The sequence below is a fragment of the Homo sapiens genome, chromosome 5 (genome assembly GCF_000001405.40).
Source record: "Homo sapiens chromosome 5, GRCh38.p14 Primary Assembly".
Taxonomy (NCBI): domain Eukaryota; kingdom Metazoa; phylum Chordata; class Mammalia; order Primates; family Hominidae; genus Homo; species Homo sapiens.
Genome location: NC_000005.10, coordinates 118,913,367 through 118,933,039, shown reverse-complemented (window position 1 = coordinate 118,933,039; position 19,673 = coordinate 118,913,367). Strand labels below are relative to the sequence as shown.

Below are 19,673 nucleotides of genomic sequence, written 5' to 3'. Positions count from 1 at the left end.
GTTTTTTGTAGTATTTATTATTTTCTTAATGACTTTGGAATCAGTAATGATCACCCTTTTTATTTCTGATATCAGTAATTGTGTCTTTGCTCTTTTTTTTTTGATTACCTCAGGTGTAGTTTTATCAATTTAATTGATCTTTTCAAAGAACCAGTGTATTAGTTTGCTAGGACTGCCATAATAAAATACCACATACTGGGTGGCCAAAGAGAAGTTTATTTTCCACAGTTCTTGAGTTTAGAACTCCAAGATCAAGAGGCCAGTAGATTTGGTTTCTCCTGAGGCCTCTCCTTGGCTTACAGTTGGTTGCCCTCTCATTGCCTGTTCATATGGTTGTCCCTCTGAACAGGTGTGCCCCTGCCATCTCTTCTTTTGTGTCCAAATTTCCTCTTCTTATAATCATACCAGTTAGATTAGAATAGGGACCACCCTAATGGCTTCATTTTAACTTAATCACTTCTTTAAAGGTGATTTTTCTATCTCTAAATACCATCATATTCTGAGCTACTAGGGGTTAGGACTTCAACATATGAATTTTGGGGAGGACACAATTCCTTCTATAACAGTCAGCTTTTGATTTCATTGATTTTTTCTGTTGTCTTCCTATTTTGAACTTCACTGATTTCCATCTTAGGTTTTACTCTTTCTTTTCTTTTTATAGTGCTTGCTTCAGGCTTAAATTGCTCGTCTTTCTCTAGCTTTTTTTTTTTTTTTTTAAATTTTTTTGTCAAGACAGAGTCTTGCTACATTGCTCAGGCTGGTCTTGAGCTCCTGGCCTCAAGTGACCCTCCTGCCTCTGGGATTAGAGGCATGAGCCACAATGCATGGCCCTATCTAGCTTTTGTTGTTGTTGTTGTTTTTGTTGTTGTTGTGTTTTTAAGGAGGAAGCTCAGACTGTTGATTTTCAGGTCTTTCCTTTTTCTTAATGTGCATTTTAATGCTATGAATATCTCTCTAAGCAGTGCTTTTGCTGCTTCCCACACATTTTGATAAGTTGTATTTTCATTTTCGTTTAGTTCAAAATATTTAAAAATTTCCCTTGGGACTTATCTCTTGACCCGTGGTTTACTTAGAAGTATGTTGTTTAATCTCCAATACTGCGGAGTTTTCCAGCAAGTTTTCTGGCTCTAATTTAATTCCATTGTAGTCTGAGAGCATACTTTGTATGATTTCTATTTTAAATTTGTCAGGGTATGTTTTATGGCCCAGAATGTGGTCTGTTTTGGTGAGTGTTTCATGTGAACTTGAGAAGAATGTGTATTTTGTTGTTGGTGGACTATTCTATAAATATCAATTAGATCAAGTTGATTGATAATGCTGTTCAGGCCAACAATATCCTTACTGATTTTTTTGTCTGCTTGATCTACCAGTTACTGACAAGGTTGTACTGAAGTCTCCAACTGTATTACTGGATTTGTCTGTTTCTTTTTTCAGTTCTATTGGTTTTTGCCTTACATGTTGTGAACAGTGAATTTTTAAGTACATACATGTTAAAAGATTGTTATGTCTTTTTGGAGAATTGACTCTTGTTATTATGTAATGCCTTTCTTCATCCTCATAAGTTTCCTTCTGATGTCTGCTTTGTCTGTAGTTTATATAGCTATTGCAGACTGCAGTTACTTTTTTTTTTTTTTTTTTTTTAAGACAAGGTCTCGTTCTGTTGCTCAAGCTTGAGTGTAGTGGCACAATCATGGTTCACTCACTGTAGCCTTGACCTCCCAGGCTCAAGCGATTCTCCTGCCTCCGCTTCCCGAGTAGCTGGGACCATAGGTGCACGCCACCATGCTTGGCTGATTTTTAAACATTTTTGGAGAGATGGGAGTCTCACTGTGTTGCCTAGGCTGATGTTGAACTCTTGGGCTTAAGCAGTGCTCCTGCCTTGGACTCCCAAAGTGCTGGGATTACAGGGGTGAGCCACTGCCTGGCCTGGAATTATCTTTTGATTAGTATTATCATATATCTTCATCCCTTTTTTTTTTCAAAAGGGCTTTATTGAGATGTAATTCACATACCATTTAACTTACCAATTTAAAATGTACAAATTAATTGGTTTCTAGTATATCCAAAGATATTTGCAACCATCACCAGTCAATTTAAAATATGTCATCACTTCAAAAAGAAACCCTCTACCTTTAACTGTCACCTACCTATCCCTATGCCCTCCGTCCTCTCCAACTCCCTGCGCCTTCCCAGTCCTAAGCAAACACTAGTCTACTCTGTGTTTCTATTGATTTTCCTATTTGTTATCCATATTTGATATCTGATATTCCATATAAATGAAATAATATATTTGGACTTTTGTGACTGGCTTCTTTCACTTAGCATAATGTTTTCAAGGTTGTAACATGTATGTTGTAACATATATTAGTACTTAATTTCTTTTTGTGGTTAAATAATAGGTAGAAAAAAGCTGTGGTAAGTAGTTTCTCTTGAGGGAAAGGCCTTTGTTATGGAGAATGCTGCGGGCTATTTCAAGATGGTTACTTTTCTTTTTTTTTCCTCTGGTTTTTGGAGTGTTTGCCCTGGAGCCTCAATTCTCTGACGAATCTAAGAAAAGTTGTTAATTTTCAGTTTGTTAGCATTTTTTTTTGTGAAGATGGGCTTGATGACTTTCAAACTCTTTATTTCTGAGCTGAATTTGGAAGTCCAAATTATATTTCAAAGAAAAATGATAATTTGTCTCCTTTCCCCTTAATAGCATTTTGTTTTGTTTTTTGCTTGTGGGCAAAGGGTGTCTCATTCATTGTTTTGTCTCCAGTACCAAAAAGCTTTGACACATTTTTGAATGAATGTTGAATCAACTAACTCTATAACGGAACTGGATGATGGTGTAGGGGCCAAGGGGAACGTTCCTCTTCACCCTCTGAAGGTCTGCTGAAAATCATCTGACAAAAGACAAATTAAAGGGAGAAAAGGCATACAAATTTATTGACGTGTAAGGGAGTCTTATGAAATATAAGAACTCAGAGAAATGGCCAGATGGTTGATGCTTTTATGTCATCTTGAGGTTTACAGAAAGAATAGGGGCTTAGAGCATGGCAAAGCTGGTTATTATGGCAAAAACATTTGGGACGGGGAGAAGAGGAGGCCTGGCTGGCAAAAGTGGTCTTGTTATGCAGATGAAACCGCACCGATAGCAGCCTTCATAGAGAATAGAGGGTAAATATTTCTTTCAGACCATTAAGGTTGTCAGACTTTCAGTTATTATTTCCTAGATCTGGACAAGGGAAGGTCCTCAGAGAAAGCCTGGCTGCCATGTGTTTTTCTCTACAGATGCAACAGCTTTTCAAGGCTACTGCTGTTTGCAAGCCCTCTAAACAGCTGTGTCAACATATGTCAAATAAGTATATTTTGAAGTGAAATATTTTGGTTTCCTTCAATAGATAATATACGATGTTATAAGAAAAACTTCAGCCAAATTAAATTTAAAGGAATTTAATTGAGCAATGAACAATTTGTGAATCGGGCAGTCCCCAGAATCACAGCAGATTCAGAGAGACCCCAGGGATGCCTCGTGGTCAGAACAAATTTGTGGACAAAAAAAAAAAAAGGGAAGTGACGTACAGAAATCAGCAATGAGGTACAGAAACAGCTGGATTGGTTACAGGTTGGGGTGTGCCTTATTTGAACACAGTTTGAACACTTAGCACTCTGTGAATGGTTGAAGTATGGCCACTGGGATTGGCCAAGACTCAGCCATTGTTACAGGTGCATACTCCTAAATTAGGTTTTCAATCTTGTCTGCCTATTAAGATAGGTTAGGGTTCATCCATAAGGACTCAAATATAGAAGTATGGAGTCCTTCTCAGGCCATATTTAGTTGGCTTTAACAAAGGTGAATTTGAGAATGTGGCTTGCCTATGCAACCGAACTTCTCTTTATGGTTCTTCCATTGCTACTCGATTTTGCCTTGGGATTGTTAGGATTGTTTGTGCTAGGATTGTTAGGCAGTGCCAGTTGTTTACTTTGATAAAGTGGATCAGATTACACATGAAGTATTAGTGAGGAAAGGAAGAATTCTTTGGAAGGGCTAAAGTTATGTCACTGGCAGTTGGATAGAAAAGCTTTGATAGAGAAGAATAGTGAGGATTGGAAAGCCTAGAGGAGAGTGGCAGAATTGTGGTGAATACATCAGTAGAGAGTACACAAAATTTTGAGTCTTTTTAATTCATACTTTATAAACTAATACTTATATTTGATTAGACAAATGACTACATATAGGGAAACTTTTATTAGGAAATTCAGTAAGCATAATAAAACCTTTTTTCCTCACAAGCTAATAAAGATATATTTTTAAAAAACTTTTTCAGAGATCCTGAACTTTCAACTGTTTGCCGGAAGTCTGGTACATTAATATTATATCCAGGGGCTGAAGCTGCTAATTTGGAAGAATTTATATTAGATTCTCCTGTTTATCCTTCTACAATCATCATCATTGATGGTACATGGAGCCAGGCTAAGGACATTTTCTATAAGAACTCCTTGTTCCGACATCCCAAACAGGTAAACTAGTAATTTTAACAGAGAATAAATATAAATATATAATTAGGTATATTGTGTATGTTTTCTGTGAAGGGATACACATAGATTTTTATATATGAATTTGGTGGTATTTCTATGTGTGAATATATAGTACCTAGATATATGTATGCTTATGTTTATGAGTTTGAATATATATGTATTTTGAATATATATATAAAATTTCAAATTTGTCATTTCTTCTCTCCTACTGCCAAATTTTACTGTAGTTGAGGCATTTGGCTATATTAAGAGTCTCTTAGACATTTAATCAGAGAAGTCTAAGGATTATTTTTATATGTATTAATGTGTTTTGTTAAGAAGCATTATCTTATTTAAATACTATTATTTGGTTACTGAATTACCTAGTTCTTACTAGGAATGACTAAGTTTTTATTAAATACTTTTTGTCATTCATTATTACAGTTATATGGTTTATTCTTCAGTTTTTTGATGTAATTAATTATGAAGACACCTTTCTTAATATTGGTCCATTCTTATATTCCTGGAATGGACTCAACTGAGTAAACTATTAAACATTTTTGATATATTGCTGAAAATTATATTTTATTTAGTGGCATTGAATTATGTGTATTTTTGGTCCACTGTCATGTTTGGTTATTAAAATAATGTTAACTTCCAAAGTAAATTGGAGAGATTTTAATATTTTTCTATGACCTGGAATAGTTTAAATAATACTAGAATTCCTTGCACCTTAGAAATTAGATGGAACTCATTGGTGAAATCACTTGGTTCTGTTCTCTTTAAAAATGGTAGCTTTTAAATTCTTCTTTCAAACTCTTCTAAGGAAATTATTCAAGCTTTCTACTTCTATTTAGATCAGTTTTTAATAACTTTTATATTTCTCTAGGGAATTATCTCTTTTCTCTAAGTTAGCAGATTGGTTGCCATATACTTATATACAGTCTTAAATAATTATTTTAATTACTCAGGAATGCATTTTTTTCTTGTTTTTAATCATACACACACAGACATAGACACACACACATACACAAACGTTTTTTACACAAACAGATTCAAAAGGGGTTTCTCTATTTTATAGAACTTTTAAAATATAAGCTTTTAGGTTGTTTATATTGGCTATTATAGTTTATTTTTATTTCATTACGTTGAACTTTTTTCTCGACCAATTTTATATTTCATCTTTTTGGGCTTATTTTCTTCTATTATTCTTCTGATTTTATAAGATTTTTACTAAGAGTACTTCTGTAGACTGAATTGTGTTCCCTGTCCCTCCCCCGACCCCATGCATATATTGGAGCCCTAACTTCCAATATAATGGTATTTGGAGATGGGACCTTTGGGAGGTGATTAGATTATGAAGGCAGAGCCCTCATGATGGGATTAGTACCTTTAGAAGAAGAGACATGAGAGATACTTCCTTTTTGCTCTCTGTCTCTCTCCGTCTCTCTTTGTCTCTCTCTCTCTCTTTCTCTGTCTCTCTCTGCATGTGAGGACACAGCAAGAAGACTTCCATTTGCAAGCCAGGAAGAGAGCTCTCACCAGGACCGTGACCATGCAGGTGCTCTGATTCAGACTTCCCAGCTTCTAGAACTGTGAGAAATGAATGTTACAACAGCCTAAGCTGACTAAAACAAGTACTAAATTTCTTTATTAAGATTTCTGAGTTCTGCTAGGCTTGGTGGCTTGTACCTATAACTCCAGCTACTTGTGAGGCTGAGGTGGGAGGATCACTTGAGCCCAGGAGTTTGAGGTTACAGTGAGCTATGATTGTGCCACTGCACTCCAGCCTGGGTGCCAGAGAGAGACCCTGTCTCCAAAAAAAAAAATCACTTTCTTTTTTGAACAAAAGGGGCGAGATGGATGCAATATTTCCGCTAGTATAACTGTCACTGTATCCCATTATTTTGGGTTAAAGTGTTCTTTTATCAGTAACATTGATATAAGTTGTTTTGATTTCTTTCTACCCATGGATTATCAATGAATTCTTTTTTTTAAAATTTCAATAGCTTTTGGGGTACAAGTGGTTTTTGGTTACATGGATGAATTCTGTAGTGGTGAATTCTGAGATTTTAGTGCACCCGTCACCTGAGCAGTGTACACTGTACCGAATATTTAGTGTTTTACTCCTCACCTCCCTCCTTCCACCCAGAGTCCCCAAAATTTATTATGTACATCTTTGCATCCTCATAGCTTAGCTCCCACTTATAAGTGAGAACATAACGGAATTTGGTTTTCCATTCCTGGGTTACTTCACTTAGAATAATGGCCTCCAGTTCCATCCAAGTTGCTGCAAAATGAACTTAGTTTGTTCATTTTTATGGCTGAGTAGTATTCCGTGGTATATATATACTACATTTTCTTTGTCCACTCATTGGTTGATGGGCACTTAGATTGGTTCCACGTCTTTGCAGTTGTGAATCGTGCTGCTATAAACATGCCTGCGCATGTGTCTTTTTTTTCTTTTTAAATTGAAATGAGGTCCCACTGTGTTGTCCAGGCTGGCCTTGAACTCCAGGGCTCAAGTGATCCTCTCCCTACCTCGGCTTCCCAAAGTGCTGGGGTTACAGGCATGAGGCATCACACTTTGTTTATGTGTTTTTTTCATATAATGACTTATTTTCCTTTGGGTAAATACCCAGTAGTGGGATTGCTTGACTGAACGGTAGATCTACTTTTAGTTCTTTTTTTTTTTGAGATGGAGTCTTGCTTTGTCACCCAGGCTGGAGTGCAGTGGCACAATCTCGGCTCACTGCCAGCTCCGCCTCCCGGGTTCACACCATTCTCCTGCCTCAGCCTCCTGAGTAGCTGGGACTACAGGTACCCGCCACTGCGCCCGGCTAATTTTTTGTATTTTTAGTAGAGACAGGGTTTCACCATGTTAGCCAGGATGGTCTCGATTTCCTGACCTTGTGATCCACCCGCCTCGGCCTCCCAAAGTGCTGGAATTACAGGCATGAGCCACCGTGCCTGGCCTACTTTTAGTTCTTTAAGGAATCTCCATACTATCAATGAGTTCTTAATTCTTAAGTGTTTTAACACTTTTCATCATTATTTTACTTTTATTTCTGATTTTTGGAATCGTGATAAAAGAGCATTAGCCACGCTATTTTGAATAAGTTTATGATTTCTGTGTGAATAGGTACCTGGTAGATTTTTGTTCATGTTCTATTACTATAAAAATGTACATTCTCTATTTAGGGATGTAAACATTCATACTATTGCTTTTAAGTTTGTTAATTGTATTTTTCTTTATGTTTTTATTTTTTGGTATACTTGGACTGTTTGATACTGTAAAAGGATTATGAAAAGCTTTAGTGCTTATGTATTTTTAACGATGTTATCCCTGCATTCCCAGTAGTTTTTGTGTTATCTGCTCTGTTGTTGGGTGCATACAAGCCATACACTTAGTGAAGAATAACAATGGAACCCTGACTTCTGAGGTTTTAAACTTAAATTCTTTATAGTTTTTATTCCCTTTGACCAAAATGCAGACATTGTTTTTAGATGAGACTAAAATACATAACACAATTCTAAAAAATAGCTAATGCATTGAGTGCTTTGATGGAGCAGGCCCGATTACAAATGTTTTACATGTATTTACATGTATTATCTTTCCCCAAATCCCATGAGGTAATAAGTATTGGCATCTTAGATAACAGATGAGGAAACCAAAGTACAGAGACATTAAATAACTTGCTTTAGATCTCATAACTATTTCATAGCATAGCCGCAATTTGAACCCATCTTGTTAGAGCTAAAGCCAGTAGTCTCAACCACAGTGGTATACTGTTTCTAAATGGAAAACTTCGATTGTAAAATGATAGTGGCAATTGTAGTGATTTTATGATGAATTCTAAACTACTTTATGTAACACTAAAAGTTTATTTTAAAATATATTTTTAAATTCTTGAAAAATTGCCTGTTCACATTTTTAGTATATTGCAAGATTTAGTTAATTAGTAACCCTGTTCCCCAGCTTTTCTGGATGAAGATAAATTCATTTAATTACATAATAGGCTTTCCTAGGGGCCTGCCTTAGTAGATGGATACAAATAAGTTAACATGCCCCTTTCATGGGTAACTGACAGAATTTCGACTCAAACTAACTTAAACGAGGACATATATAGATCATGTACCGGTGAGGTTCAGAGTGAGTAGGAGAGGCTTCAGGCTTTGCTGGATCTGGTTCTCAGGCAGTTCTGTTTTTGGGGTATGCTTCTCTTTGTTTTGGTCTGATTTTCTCTTATGAATGGACTTCTTTCCTGTACTGGAAATTATCTGTAGGAAGCAGGAGATTAATATCCTCCTGCTAGGAGATACTTCCAGTAGGATATGACATGCTTAGTAGCTAAACTGCTGATAAACAGCTGTGTGAGACCTGGACCGGTTAGAGGAGTTCACTGCCCCTGTCTGTTGGTCTGCCCTCTGCCTTTTTGGAAGACTCTTGAGAATCAACCAGAGGAGTTTTCCTGGAGGTCCCAGGTAGGGGAGGGATACAGAATCTGTGTCTTCTGACTAGTGTGAAGCCACACTGGGCTGCAGAAGCCAGTCTTCCCAGCAATTATGACAGCTCTTGAATTTTTTTTAGAATTTTTTATGCCCTTCCGAAGCATTTAAGTGTTGTCTAACATGTTCCAGTGTCTGTCTGAGGTGGCTTATAAAAGCAGGGACAAAACTTCTATCAGAGTCAGGCTGTTACCGGTGGAAGAGATCCGAGTTACCCTGAGTTACCAGCAGCACATCTGTGCGGGTCTGCAGCAACTTCAGTCCTTGCCTCCTCAGAGAAAGACTTTGAAGGACATAAAGCAGGAAAAGAGACCGAGGCACGTTTCAGAGTAGGAGTTGAAGTTTATTTAAAAGGCTTTAGAACAGGAAAGAAAGGAAAGCTTACTTGGAAGAGATCCAAGAGGGTGCCTGAAGGTCAAAGAGAATGTATTACCTTGATCCTAGGGCTTTATAGGTTCGCCTCTTTCCCAAGATTCTTCCGTTAGGGTGGGTTTCCCGCATGCGCAGTGCCTCCCTTACCCTTGGAGCTCATGCAGTGTGTTTAGCAAGTTGCATACATGCCTGTCTGAGGCTTTCTTCCCTTTTTCCGGTGGTGTATACCCGGAAGGTCATATTTCGCCATTTTGTCTCTTAGTGAGCATGACCAGGAAGTTTTTTCTCCCTGGCATCTGCATTCAACTAACACTTTAATGTTAGTAGCTGTGGATCATCAGGAAATGGCCTCGCTCTGGCGCCCTGAATGGGCTGCCAAATTATCATTTTTAGAGGGGGCAGTGTGATAATTGTCAAACCTCACCTGATATTCCTAGTGGTTAGGGGGAGAGCTCTCTCCTGCCCTGCTCATGCCTATCTAACTACCTGTAACAAGGTGAGAATGAGGTACAATTTATAAGGTGAAGTAAGGTGAAATTTCATTTCAGTGTTTCCAAAAACATGATTATCATTTCACTGAAATGAAATTTTCCCAGTGTTATAAATTGCCTATTAAAAAAAAAAGCTTATTGAATGCCTACCTGGCAGTATATACCAGGCAATGTGCTGGTTAAAAAAAAGAATAAGAATAAAAACTTTTGAGGAGTTCTCAAAAAAGAAAAATAACCTGCTGGTTTTATTTATGCTAACAGAAAGATGGTTTCTCTTTCCCAGAGTAGAATCCTGGATGGCCCTTTTATTGAGGTTGGGGTGGAGAGTGATACCCTTATTGACAAGAGGACTGCATGAATTAGGAAGTTCCTCAGAGGACGTGGGCTGTTGTTTTCAGAAGGATGATTTAAAAGTGTGACTAAGCAAACAAAAAACTCACTGTATGCTATAGTCTACTGTATATAGTTTATTTGTAAATATAGTCTTTTGCTTATTTTTTTGTTTACTCAAGGTGCTCTTTATAAATGTTTTAACAATTCTCTCTTATAGTCTTGTCTACAAAGTAAAAATGTTAAAAGAAAATTTAAATCAGTTTTTGCATAAGTTTCCCAAATCTATAATGTTGTTTAAAATAATTCGGTTTTATTTCTAAATGTAGTGTTATTTTTTCTTACTATGCTTCAATATGCATATACCCCCACCCCTGTTTTTTGCATAGAATTATTAGTTATTACTTAGGTGATCCATTCGGTTTCTTTAATAGTGTAAAAATTTTGCTCTAAATGTATGAGAGAAAAATGGCAGAAAGGAAACAAAAATCAGAATTCAAGTCCAGAGTGTTGTGTTTATAGAAGAAATATAGTTTTTTCGCCCTCCTAATCAGTAACTAGCCGTATGTGAACTTCATACTTACATAATTGAGGAATGAAAGAATTGTAATGCAAACCCATTAACTTGGCCTCCTTTTAATTTTGAATTCTAATATATCCAGACCATTTGGCAGTGAATCTCTTTCCCACAGGAATTTTATACACAAGACCCTTGACATTTGCTAGGAATAAATCCAAGGTGAATATGGAAATGTTTGTAGAGGCTCCTGGCTTTCTTCATAAACATATTTCCATGGAGTAGTTGCATATCCTTTCTCTACTGCTGTTAAAATGTCCACTAAAGCTTAATTTCTCGCTTGATAAGCAGAGCGCTGTTGGGAGCACTCATTGGGTAAAACACTTTTATGAGAACTTTTTCTTGTGTCCACATAGAGCTGTTACAGACTGCTTTATGTTATATATCTGATCTATTGCCAAACACGTCGTTATTCTTTTTATTTTATCCAAAACTTCAGTTTTTTAAATCTCTGTCAGCATTCAGAGTTGGTTTACATTTTAACACAGTCTCATTGAGATGTAGATTCTGAATAGGCTATTCTACTTACTGTTCGTTAAGTGACTTCTGTACTGTATTTTCCAGGAAATATGCTTTAAATTAGTGCCACAGCAAAATAATTTCATGTTTTGAAATGTCTTCCTCCTTTGGGGGAGAGCCACAACCCTTGAGTGTTAAATTCAAAATGCCCATGGTCTAACAAATCAGTGATTTACTTTTTACTTTTTTTTTCTTTTTCTTTCTTTCTTTTTTTTTTTTTAAGAGATGGGGTCTTGCTCTGTTGCCTAGACTGGAGTACACGGGTGTGATTATAGCTCACTGCAGCTTCCAACTCCTAGGCTCAAAGCGATCCACCCACCTCAGCCTCTGACCTCAGTGGTGGGACTAGTGGGTGTGTACCACCACACCTGACTAATTTTTAAACACTTTTTTTAAGAGAAGGGGTCTCGCCATGTTGTCTAGGCTGGTTTTGAACTCCTGGCTTCAAGCAATCCCCCTGCCTCAGCCTCTCAAGGGATTTACTTTTTTACCTTTGCATATTATTCATAATTTTGTTGGCAGAATATATCCACACCTCTGGATCTTTTTGGCTTCTGTTTTAGGGTGCTGTGTACCCCTCACAGCTAGGAGGCTTATCTCTGAGGTTGTAGATAGTATTTACAAATAGAACTTGAGTTAACTTGAAGGAACATTTGCTTCCATTGGGTGTATGATTTTGTGTGATAGAATAGGATATAATAGGAACTATGATCTTCCTATATGCAAAAGGATAATTTAAAAAGGGTTATTAGAGATCTTGACATGGAGTTCTCTGCCTCCCTACTTCCATCCATTCTTTATTGAATTCTTAACTGTGAACTCACTTCTCTTACTGGGTTACATAGATAATTAGTGGCAGATATGAAACTTGAATCCAAGTTTACTAACACAGGTCATGGAAAAAACAAAGAACGCTCCCCATTTACTTTATGAATGTAGCATAATATCAAAAATTGACAATAACACATAGATATAAACAGACTAATCTTATGAATATAACTGTAATATTTCTAAGTAGTATCCTGGCCCACAAAATCTATCATCATGTTTTATGAGTTAGTACTATATTTTATAGAAATACAATTTAGTTCAATATTTTTGAAATTGTGATTTCATTGATTGTTGCTGAAGAATTAGATAAAATCTAAAGTACATTTTTAATTTAAAAATGCCTAATAAAAAAAGGATTAGGAAGATGTGCATTTTCTTAATCTAGGTATTTCAACAAAATGAACTGTGTTTAAAGCAAAAGTTAATCTCTGCCCCCGTTCCAGGTAACCTCACACCTGTACTTCCCTACCCATACCTTTAGATATTTAGCGTTAAGAGTACGTTGTGTTTGCTTCCAAAAGTTTTTCTGTGTTCATATATACTACAATAATACTATATATATAATACAATAATATATCACAGATATAGTATTCTTTATCTCTTTTTTAAAAAAAGAAACAGGATGACAGTGTAATATATATGATACCCCAGTTTTCCTTTTCATGGGAGCATTCCTTGAAATTAATGTATGTAGATATGTCTTAGTTGGCTTGGGCTTTTTGTTTTTTCAGGGTGTTACAACAAAATACCAAAGACTGAGTGGCTTAAACCAGCAGTCCCCAGTCTTTTTGGCACCAGGGACAGGTTCTGTGGAAGACAATTTTTTTCATGGACTGGAGGTGGGGTGGTGGATGGTTTTGGGATGGTTCAAGCATGTTACATTTAATGTGCACTTTTTTTTTTTATTTTTATTACACTGTAATATACAATGAAACAAAGAAAGGAGACTAATTGGTGGGGATCCTAGTTTTCTACTACTGTTTCAAACAATCCAGCTTCAGGTGACTACATCTTACATGTATAAGCCTAAGATTTTATTTGAAGTGTGAAACGCCACTGTTTGTAGGACAATTTAATTATATGAGAATAAAATTTCAAATATAGTATAAATATGAGATGATCTTTGGTTCAATATAAGCATAGATGGTAGGAAAAAAACAGGAATGATAAACATCATAATGTTTAAACAGCATTGTGGTAGACAGCTATCATATGCATGGCTGAGTATAATCATTTCCTGGGAATTCCCTTGTTATGAACCTTATATATGATACAAATTACAGCTCAGATTGTAAATCTCCCATATGGGGAAACAATAGTCTGTGAATATTTTCATGTTTCTGCACACTCATGATTTTTTGAGCATAGAACACTTGGCCCCTCCATTAAAGGATGTATGAATGGTACACATGCCTTTGAAGTTTGAGATTGTGTGTTGATCCAGAGCCATTTGTTCACATTCTAAAGGTGGTAGACCTAAAGAAGCCATTAGTTTGCATTCTAATGGTAATAAAACCTGAGTCATTTGCTCATACTTCAAGGGTTTTAAAAACCTAGAGACCGTTTTCTTCTCTCCACAGAAGGGATTTGTTTACATTCTCTGTGAAGGAAAGGAGGAGCACATGTGCTGGCAGTTCCTATGTAAGCTCTGCATTTGATAATTTCAGAGTTCCTCTCCTTTGCTTCCAACTCTTGCACCAGCAGATGATGACATCTGCTTTCACTATTTTGCACCACAGGGAATCGGGGGAACTGGCATAAGATGCTCTGTGAGCAATTAAAAGTCTGTCTCTGATCTAGAACCCGTGTTTCCTGTCAGGATAATTAAATAAATATATGTATGTGTATAATATCCAGTCTCTCTTGCAGCTAGGCATCAGACAAATGACCTCTACTTTTCAGATCAGAGCCACCTGTGAGTGAGACTTTGGCAAGTGACAGGAAGGGGCCCTATTTAAAATCTCCGTTTTTGATGTATGAGTGGTGGCAAATGTGTCTTGTTTTTGGTTATGAGAGTAGCAGCAGTAGCATAGGTTTTCCAGTGGTTGTGAGGTCACATTCCTTTTCTTTTTTTTTTTTTTTCCTGGTAGAGACAGGGTCTTACCACGTTGCCCAGGCTGGTCTTGAACCCCTGGGCTCAAGTAATCCTTGTGCCTTGGCCTCTGAAAATGCTGGGATTACAGTTGTGAGCCACTAAGCCTGGCTGAGATCACATTCTTGATGCAAGAGTGGTGTTGGCATTGGTGGCAGTAGCAGTTGCAATAAAGTTGGGCTCTTGGCATTGGATGATGGTAAAAGTAAGAAAGCATCATCTTCATCAGGCCTTCTGTGGTAGCTTCAGATATTGCTTCTGGGAGTTTAACTTTGATTCTGTTTCTATAATTCTCTCAATGATTTTGTGAACTGCATAATAAAGCCCTGTTCTTTTTTTTTTTTTCTCTTGAGACGGAGTCTCACTCTGACTAACTTGTCACTCACTCTAGTGTTCACCAGGAGGCGGAGCTTGCAATGAGCCGAGATCGTGCCACTGCACTCTAGCCTGGGCAACAGAGCGAGACTCCATCTCAAAAAAAAAATAAAAAAAAACCTGACTGATATAAAATGTCATCTCTTGGCGGTCAGATTGTCCATTTGATGTTTCTTACCTTCTTTTATTTTCCAAACGTTTTCAGTGAGCAATGTATTACTTGTATATTTAGAAGAACAAACAAAAAGACTGAAGGGATTTAGGCTTCTGACTTCTCTGCTGCATCTGAAAATCTAAATAATGAATATATTAGTCCATGATATGGTTTGGCTGTGTCCCCACCCAAAATCTCATCTTGAATTCTAATCCCCATGTGTTGGGGGTGGGACCTCATTGGAGGTGATTAGATAATGGGGGCAGTTCCCCATGCTGTTTTTGTGATAGTGAATGAATTCTCATGAAATTGGATGGTTTTTTTTTTTTGAGAGTCTTGCCCCATTGCCCAGGCTAGAGTGCAGTGGTGCGATCTCGGCTCACTACAACGTCTGCCTCCTGGGTTCAAGCGATTCTCCTGCCTCAGACACTTGAGTAGCTGGGATTATAGTCACGCACTACTACTCCTGGCTAATAATTTAGTAGAGACAAGGTTTCACCATGTTTGTCACTCTGGTCTCGAACTCTTGACCTCAAGTGATCCACCCACCTCAGCCTCCCAAAGTGCTGGGATTATAGGCATGAGCCACTGTGCCCGGCCAATTGGATGATTTTACAAGGGGTTTTTCTCCCCTTTGCTTGGCACTTCTTTCTCCTGCCCCCATGTGAAGGACATGTTTGCTTCCCCTTCTGCCATGAATGTAAGTTTCCTAAGGCCTCCGGAGCCCTGTGGAACTATGAGTCAATTAAACCTATTTTCTTTATAAATTGCCCAGTCTTGGGTTTTTCTTCATAGCAGTGTGAGAACAGACTAATATTGTCTCTGAAATGGACTGTATTCTTGCATTTGAACATAGGTGCACTTATTTTGATAAATCCTTACTATGACCTAAGAGTCAAAAACCTGGCTGTTTCTTTTTCCCTTCCCTATTGTTTCTTTCCATGTGTTTTATTTTAGGGAAAGGGACCCTCATCACCTGTTAGAGCTACTCTTTTTGTAAGATGTCCTTTTGTAAAATGTCCTTCTTATTTTCTTTCAGTTATTAAGACATGCAAGTAAAAAGATTATAGTTCCTGCACTGTCATTGTCTGGTAATAGCACATCAGCAGTTAACTTAAACCCGAATTTGAGATTTCTTGTCTATCTCAACTATCTTGATACTTGGTTTGGTAGTCAAATTATAAGCATCTACATATAAATAATGCAATAAAACTAGGTTAGTATATTATTATATTTTTGTCAGTTTAAAATACTTTTTGTGATACCCAAGTTAGGATGAAGGGAGGAAACTCAATTTCCATAGATTTTCATGAGGTTCAGTTTTATTGATGAGTATAATTGTAATTAGTTGTAGTTCTAATGGGGTCAGAAAAAAAAGCAGGTATTCCTCTGGATCTTTCTGATCCAGAGTTAGTGACATTAGACTCTCGACACTAGAGTTAGTGACAAGTTAGTGACAAAGGCTATTTGGATTTTATTCTGAGTAATAACTATGACTAAAATTGTATCATTTTAGATACGTGAGGAAAGCTTCTTCCACATTAAATTGAAAGGCAAAATCATTTCTATTATGTTTCTGTTTTATTAGATTTACTTTCTTTTAATGTCTTTTTTTTTTTTTTTTGGGACAGAGTTTCACTTTTGTTGCCCAGGCTGCAGTGCAATGGTGCGATTGCCACTCACTGCAACCTCCGCATCCCGGGTTCAAGTGATTCTCCTGCCTCAACCTCCCAAGTAGCTGGGATTACAGGCATGTGCCACCATGCCTGGCTAATTTTGTATTTTTATTAGAGATGGGGTTTCTTCATGTTGATCAGGCTGGTCTCGAACTCCCGACCTCAGGTGATCCACCCACCTTGGCCTCCCAAAGTGCTGGGATCACAGACATGAGCCACTGCACCCGGCCTTAATGTCTTTTAATAGACTAGTGATGTATTATAAATCAGAGTATGGGATCTCTTTTATTTACTGCCACTAAATAACAACAAAAAAATAATCATGGACCACATATCCTTTGTTTCTGATTTTAGATAAAATGTGACGGTAAACACTAGAAGGTGACAGGCAAATCAGATAGGCAACAGAGTTGTCATTTTTATACAGCTAACCTTTTTATCCAACAGTCTTCATACTGTGGGTCTGAATGCTTCGTTGAGATATTAGTTGTCTGTCTTCCAGTTGGCCCAGATCTTCAACCAATTTCTCAAGTTTCTGAAATGTGAGTGAGTGGCTTCATTTAATGGCCTTAGTAGCTACCCTTCCCTCAACCCCAATCCCTTATTGGGAATTTACTTTCCCTTTTGTTGTTTATCCAACTTCTTTATCTTTAAGAGTGCTCATTCACATTGCATTACTGTTGTGGAGTAGTTCCTATTTGGATATCAGAACTTCCTCTTACTTTTAGAATTATCCTCCATATGTTGACACAGTCAGTCTTGATGGTAAAGGACAAGGGTAACCAGAGGACTAGATCCTGAAATACCTAGAAAACCATCAGCCACTTACTCTTTTACTCACACACCTAGATGGAATTCTTAGTGATTAGTTGAAATTGTAGGCTTCCACTCACTACACATGGGAAGAGTTTAATTGGATTCAGTTAAATTTCAAAGATTAGGCCGGGCGTAGTGGCTCACGCCTGTAATCCCAGCACTTTGAGAGGCCGAGGCAGGCTGATCACAAGGTCAGGAGATCGAGACCATCCTGGCTAACATGGTGAAACCCCATCTCTACTAAAAATACAAAAAATTAGCCAGGTGTGGTGGTGTGCGCCTGTATTCCCAGCTGCTAGGGAGGCTGAGGCAGGAGAATGGCGTGAACCTGGGAGGTGGAGCTTGCAGTGAGCCGAGATTGCGCCACTGCACTCCAGCCTGGGCGACAGAGCGAGACTCTGTCTGAAAAAAAAAAAAAAAAAATTCAAAGATTAGCTTACATATGGGTTATTTTGGGGGCTTGTCCTGGTTAGTGGGAATCCTTATTTTTATTTCTGATTTTAGTGAAAGCCTTCTAGTACCTGATCACTAAACATGATACAGGCTTTTTTTTCCATATTAAGAAAAATATATGTATTTTTTGAGACAGAGTCTCACTGTGTTGCCCAGGTGGAGTGCAGTAGCCCTGTCTTGGGTCACTGCAACCCCTGCCTCCTAGGTTCAAGTGATTCTCATGCCTCAACCTCCTAAGTAGCTGGGATTATAGGCGTGTGCTGCCACGCCCAGCTAATTTTTGTATTTTTAGTAGAGACAGGATTCTATCATGTTTGTCTCGATCCCTGGACTCATGTGATCCACCCACCTTAGCCTCCCACAGTGCTGGGATTATAGGCGTGAGCCAGAAAAATTAAATTTATATTAATATATTTTTGTTTTATAAGGATTTTTAAAAACCAGGAATGGTGACAAATTTTATTGAATGTGTATTCATCACCCAGGATGCTAGCCAAATGGCCTTACTCCTTTGATTTCATAATTTAGTGAATTATGTGAATGCTTCCTAATATTGAACTGTGCCTGCATTCCTGGAAGAAACCACCCTTACTTGTTTTATTTTACTTGTTTTAAGTGATAGAGTCCAGCTTTACTGCTTAAGCTGGAGTGCAGCTGTTATCTTTTTAATGTATTGCTGGATTATCTTTGCTAATATTTTGTTTTATATTTTGCCAATTAGACTGTAAATTCCATGAGAGCAGGATTGGTTGGTGCAAAATTAATTGCTTTTTTGCTGTTACTTTTAATGTCTTATTATATTTACTGTAGTCAAGGATTTTGCGTTGTACCTGTGCTCAATAAACATTTAAATAAGTAAATAATATAATTGATATGGGTGTGTCTTGGTTGGTTTGTGCTGTTGTAACAGAATACCACAGACTGGGTGTTCTGGCTCACAGTTCTGGAGGCTGGGAATTCTAATATTAAGGCACTGATAGGTTTGGTGATTCTGATTCCAAGATGGTGTGCTTTGTCCTCAACTGGTGAAAGGTGGAAGGACAGAAAGAGAGTAGGAGAAAGAACGCACTCCTAGAGCCTTTTTAATAATGATGGTATTAATCTATTCATGAGGTGGAGCTTCATGACAGAAATGCTTACATTAGACCCTACCTCATAACATTGTCACATTGGAGATTAAGTTTCCAACACATGAATTCTAGGGGACACATTTAAACCAGAGTAAGGCGAAACCACCAAGGATACAAAACTTCCCTAGGCTTTTATATATCTGATAAGAAGGCATATCTAAGGTCAGTGAGACAAAATCATAAACATAAAATACAAAGAAAAGGTCATGCATTAATACATATTAATTTATTTTATTTATATTTATTGTATGCTTGGTTTAACTTTCACTTTTTAATGTTCTTTTGCTTTTTTCCTTCTCATAAAATGAAAATAAAAACCACTATACTACCAGCCTAATCGGCAGTTTTTGTTAGTTGTATTTTATCAAGTTTATTACATTATTATTTTCATATGATACAGCTTTCTTTGAAAGATTAAACAGTTTTATTTGGTTTTATAATCATGTTTGCCAGTTATTTAAATTGTGTTTAAATTGATTTCTTGCTCACTACTAGTACTTTTTTCTGTAGTTTCCCAGTTTTTATGACTTACGGTTATTCACTTCTTTAGTTAGCTAGACTGTGTTTTTAACACAAACTTCAGGAAGATACAAAGATTTCATTCACTTCTTGAACTCTCATATACTTAAGAATCTTTGTTCTTGTGACAAGTGAAATACAGTTTGGTTTTGTATATAATTCTTACTTAACATCTTTTTAATTTTAAAACTCTATAGACCATACTCACTGATGAGTCAGTTCTCCAGAGAGAAACACACACACACGTGTGTGTGTGTGTGTGTATATATATATATCTATATATATCTATATATATCTATATATATATGGTTCATGTGATTATGGAAGCT

The 19,673-nt window shown here is 37.1% G+C and overlaps 1 protein-coding gene across 4 annotated transcripts in view; it reads left to right on the top strand.

Moving 5' to 3' along the window:
- Positions 1 to 19,673, top strand: part of DTWD2 (DTW motif tRNA-uridine aminocarboxypropyltransferase 2) — a 152,474-nt gene that overhangs the window by 55,508 nt on the left and 77,293 nt on the right. For 2 of the 4 annotated variants that reach the window (XM_011543338.4, XM_011543340.3), the window contains exons 4-5: positions 4,311 to 4,503; positions 6,002 to 6,061. In XM_011543338.4, coding sequence (XP_011541640.3) covers positions 4,311 to 4,503; positions 6,002 to 6,061 — 253 coding nt within the window. The remainder of the gene's footprint in view (positions 1 to 4,310; positions 4,504 to 6,001; positions 6,062 to 19,673) is intronic. The other 2 variants (NM_173666.4, NM_001308081.2) reach the window with 1 other exon arrangement.